Source organism: Homo sapiens, chromosome 14, assembly GCF_000001405.40.
Source record: "Homo sapiens chromosome 14, GRCh38.p14 Primary Assembly".
Taxonomy (NCBI): Eukaryota; Metazoa; Chordata; class Mammalia; order Primates; family Hominidae; genus Homo; species Homo sapiens.
The window spans coordinates 87,801,423-87,804,618 of NC_000014.9; positions in this window are offsets into that span (position 1 = coordinate 87,801,423).

The window sequence follows — 3,196 nt, forward strand, 5'->3', positions numbered from 1 at the left end:
GTCTGGCTCCTGGGAAGGAATCCACTTATCATCTCATTTTTTTGGTATCTTTTTATTTTATCCATTTTTTTCTTGCTCTCCCTCCCCTAGTCCCCCACCCCGACAGGCCTCGGTGTGTGATGTTCCCCTCGCTGTCCACCTGTTCTCATTGTTCAACTCCCACTTATGAGTGACAACATGCAGTGTTTGGTTTTCTATTCCTGTGTAATCATCTCATTTTTTAAAACTATAATCGGTTAATAAGGTAGTTTTATTACTCATTTTAAAAATAAGAAAATTGAGATTCAAATTGGGTAAATACTTTGCTCAGGCAGCCGCCTTAGGGATAATGAGTAGAAATCGAATTTTTAGTAAGGTACCTCTGTATGTATTAATATCATATTTTAAATTTTCCTTACTATAACCCCTATTTTATTTCATCACTTCCTTTATAATGAGAATAACTGCCTTTTACCTTGTCCCCTACATCCACACACATATTTATAGAGTTATTTATCCCCTAAGTCCTCTTAACCCAAGACTGAACATGTGAAATTCACTTCCCTCTTCCTCAAGGGTCTTGTTTTTGAAACATTTCATCATTTTGTTGCTTTCCACTGTGCTTCCCTGAGTATCTTACCATGGGGGAATTTATTTCAAATTGCATCACTCACGGAAGACAATTCTAGGGAAAAAAATGTCAGGTCAACACTGAAGGCTCACTTGATCCTTCACATCTTCAAGTGGCCTTGCTCTTATTAATGGATTGTCGTGAATGATCTTTTACAATTTTGCCCCAAAGGTCAAGAAGAGAAAATTCAATAAGTAGTAAAACACTATAAGTGGAAATCACTACGTATGTTTGCATTAAGCCAGATGTTTAATAGATAAATGTCAGATGAAGAAAAACTCAAGAATATTATAGGTAGATTCCACTGTAATCTTTTTACCACATTTGCACCAAGATTGGTTCTCAAGTATAAAATCAAAATGAAAAACAGCAAACATCACTTGCTCAGAGCAAAAGACACATTTAATAATAAACATCAAGGAGGTTTCACAATAAAGTCAATGGCAATATCTCAGGACTGAAGGTAAAAAGACTTTCATACTGTGTTCAGTATCCTACAATGGCTTTGTATTCGCTACGTGGCCTTAGGCAAATTACTTAAAATTTCTGAGTGTCAGTTACTTCATCTGTAAAATAAGAGGCAATAGGATTGGCCTATTATTTTAAGGATTGACTGACACATGGATATAACACTATATCTGGGACACAGTGGGTACTCAATCAGTGGTTATGTCATTATCATTACCATAAGTCTTTTCTAACATGTGAGAAGGTGCATAGTACAGTATGAGGTAGATAGTGCCTACGTATTTTCCTAAACTATGAAATCTTTGCCCTTTGCCTTCACATGCTTCATGCAGCCTTTTAACATACAGGTGAAAAAGCTAATGAGTAATGAAGTGAATTTAAAAAACAAGGTGTTTGAGAGGATGCAGCCAGGATGCCCATTTTATTGTCATCTCAAAGTTTAAAAACTTAGTGTTAGGAAAATGCATTTGACATTGGAATCAGGGCATCTCTTGCTTCAAGTAGAATTCTGTGTGTGTTGGGCCTTTATAGAGCTCTTGAGGATCTTATTATAAGATGACATCATCTTTATCTTGCTTCCACAGACAACTCCTACAATGCTGTTTTCTGAGGCTCCAGAGTATAATCTATGCATTTTCTGCCTGCCAAGAAATTCAGCTCTTTCCTCCCTCAAGTTGCTCAATAACTAAATTGATGATTCTACTAATTTGGGCACCACCCTGTGTCTTTATTAGGACCTGCTCTCCATCGCATGTCTTAAAAGTATTGAAAAAGTCATAAGGGGTTGACATTGGAAACCACACTGTCTTGTTCCATACTACATTCTAAACATTTGCTGTCAAGGTTAAAGAGAAACTAATGAGAAATCTAAAACTCAGGGGAAAAGGCTTTCAAAAGACCTGAATCATTAGGGTACTCTGTTTAAAGCCCCATCTTTTGTTCATAATAAAAATTAGACCTTTTTTTGTCACGTTACAGAAACAATACATGTTCACTGTAGAAAACTAAATGCAGATAAGACAAAAGAAGGTAAAAACACCAATAATTTTACACACAAGTTGGGAATCCATGATTAACCTTAGGGGTGATTTATGTACATCATATATATATAAATTTATGGCCACTCTGCTTTGGGGTAAGTTGTTCTGTAGCAATAGACAGCTGGAACAAGTAGCAAGCAAGTTTCTATTATGTTGGTGTTTTAGTCAAGAATCTACTGAGGAACTGAACCAATAGGATACACACACATATGCATGCACACACACATATAGCTATAGCAGGGGGATTTATTATAAAGAACTGGCTCACAGGATTATGAAGACTGAGAAGTCCCACGATTTGCCCTCTCCAAGCTGGAGACCTAGGAAAGTTGGTGGTATAATTCATCTGTGCCCAAACGCCTGAGAACTGGGGAGCCAGTGGTGTAAATCCAAGTCTAAGAGCTGGAGATGACATGAGATGTACCAGCTCAAGAAGTGAGGCAGCAATCATGTGTGCATATGTGTGTCTTTAGGAGTACTGTATATATCAAGATAAAAGGGGCATTAACGAGTACTATCCAAGTGTGGCCATTTTCCCATTTGGGGAGAAGGTCAAGAAAGAGATGAACAAGTACCTTTCCCTAGGTTGGATGGATGTAGAGGACTTGAGCTATCAGGCTCTGCTTTTGCAGATTTCCTGTCTGCACTGCAGTCTCTGTGTGACAACTCACAATGGTTACAGTCTACTGTATATAACAGCCTTGCAGTTAAGGGAGGAGACCACCCCGATATTGTCTTATGCCCAATTTCTGCCTCCGAAGAAAAAAAGAAGTAAAAACTAAAAGGCAGAAATGAAACCCACAGGCAGACAGCCCGGCGCCACACCCTGGGGCTAGTAGTTAAAGATCAACCCCTGACCTAATCGGTTATGCTATCTATAGATTACAGACATTGTATGGAAAAATCCCTGTCCTGTTCTGTTCCATTCTAATTACCGGTGCAGGTGCATGCAGCCCCCAGTCATGTACCCCCTGCTTGCTCAATCAATCATGACCCTCTCACACGGACCCCCTTAGAGTTGTAAGCCCTTAAAAGGGACAGGAATTGCTCACTCGGGGAGCTCAGTTTTTGGAGACGT